Source organism: Homo sapiens, chromosome 11 (assembly GCF_000001405.40).
Source record: "Homo sapiens chromosome 11, GRCh38.p14 Primary Assembly".
Classification (NCBI taxonomy): Eukaryota; Metazoa; Chordata; class Mammalia; order Primates; family Hominidae; genus Homo; species Homo sapiens.
Window position 1 is genome coordinate 119875843 of NC_000011.10, and position 2050 is coordinate 119877892.

Below are 2050 nucleotides of genomic sequence, written 5' to 3' on the forward strand. Positions count from 1 at the left end.
TCCTCAGTGCCCTGTGCGATGCCTGGCACACAGTAGGTGCTCAGAGCACATTTGTGGGTGAATGAGTGGCTCAGAGAAGCTTGACCCTCACACACCTGGGCTGAGCAGGGAAGCAGGCTCCCAGGAAGCAGGAGGCTCCGCAGCCGAGAGTGGTGTTGGGCCCACCCCTCACCCAGGCTCCCCACCTTCCATGTGTCTGGACTGGGCCAGGCCTGTGCCCGTGTTTCCAACAAACCTGGAAATAGGCCCCATACCCATATTTTGTAGATAAAAATAAATTTGTGAAACTGGTTTTGTAAGCTTTGGCTCCTCATCCACCTCAAGGGTATAAAAATACCACATGAGAGGCTCAAGAGGCCTGGGGGCCCCCTCTGCAGTGAGCTGTCTGTGGATGGAGGAGGCTGCCTCCCATCCCCTAATCATGAGGGAACCTCAAGAGAGCTTGGCTGAGGCCTGAGAAAATTTGAAGGAGAGCTAGACTGCCCGAGAAGGCAGGGCAGAGAGGGTGGGGGCCCCACAGGCTTCTCTCCTGGAGTTTGGCAAGGCAGGGAGGGAGCCTGTGTCCTGCTGGCTGGGGTGGATCTCCCAGAGGGATGCCAGGAAGTCTGAAGGCCTCACGCCAAGGCCAGAGGCAGGGGCGTGCCCTCTTCTTCAAGACTGGAGAAGTTGGATGTTCCTCAGCAGCCTTGCTCACATCAAGGGAGGTACAGCTGAGAGAACCCACACAAGCCCAGGACAAGAGAAAGACTTGGCATGTGGAGTCTGCCAGGCCCAGAGGGCACAGGTACCCTACCACCATCCTACAAGTCAACGAACACTTTCCCTGGCCCGTATTTCTCCCCCAGCCCCACCCTATCTGACCTGGGGGGAGGGGGCAACGAGTCAGGGAAGAGTGATAGAACTGACTCTCCCTCCTCCCCCTCCTCAAGGTTCCAACTTGAGCCAGACCAGGCTGCGGGGTGGCAGTTTCAAATAGGATAGGATGGAGGCTTTGCTAGTAGACTGGCTTGGGCCTTTTTTTTTTTTTCTTTTTTAAATCTGACAGTAGCACCCAAAGCTATGAGATATTCCAAAGTGGTCCTCCAATGATCAGGGAGTAATGTGCTGGAAGGGGCTAAGTCAAAAGAACGCACTTGCATCCTGTTTGTGCCCAATCGAGTCCAGCGCCGCCAGTGGACGGATTCTATTTGGATTAGAGCTGTGTGCCCCGGGGAGCCGAAGCAACTCCTGAAGACATGTGCTAAGGCTTTCGGTGCTCAAGCCGCCCTTCCTCATCTGGCCTAACTCAGAGTTCGGCGATAGAGGAAAGGGGGCCTTCTGATTTCATCCTAATCGAGGTATAGCACATTTGAACCTCATTAGAAGATAAGAAAGACACCAAGAGAGTTTAGAGGGAGAGGGGCACATCCATTTAGGCTGCTCCGTTCATGATTCCTACCTGGAGTCACCTCCCAGCATGAAGTGGCTCTTACTAAGGGGGAGGGAAGGACCCCTGGAAGATTAGGCTTTGAGTTGCAACTTTATTCTTTCTTATTATTTATTTTCTTTTAAATGTTCATTTTAAATTTTCTTTTAAATGTTCATAATTGCTGGATAATCCAGAGACATGATTGTCTTTTTATTTGCATATGGAAAGGCCCCCAACTCATTCAAACACCAAAAGCCCTTCTCTTTAAATCAACCACAGTTTCACCGCTTGAAGTTGTTCCAGAAATTGAGATCTTGCAATCTTTATTTACTGGGTTGGTTTAACTCCTTCTGGGCTGCTCCTTCCTTTAATTCTCTTCCATGATGAGGAGGCTCTAGGATAAGAGAGAAAAATAAACCCAGAGAGGGCTCCTGTGGCTGGGCTCGCTGTTCGCTGAAATGGAAATGTGTTTACGGTGTGAGAACAAAACGATCTTGGGCAGTGAAGTTGGCAAAAAGAGATAAAGGGGATTTGGTTAGAAGCGAGAGTTAAATGATAGTAAAGGTCTAGAGAAGCCATGATCAATAAATATAAAGTTCAACCTCATTGCTTTTTGCCTCTGAGAAGGGCTGAGCCCCGCCT

The 2050-nt window shown here is 50.4% G+C and overlaps 1 annotated feature.

Annotated features, from left to right (window-relative positions):
* Positions 206 to 1080: an enhancer, noted in NCBI's record as "H3K4me1 hESC enhancer chr11:119746757-119747631 (GRCh37/hg19 assembly coordinates)". NCBI's record gives its function as "activates a minimal SCP1, AML or CMV promoter by ChIP-STARR-seq in naive H9 embryonic stem cells {active_cell/tissue: H9 hESC(naive)}" and the evidence as "EXISTENCE:reporter gene assay evidence [ECO:0000049][PMID:30033119]".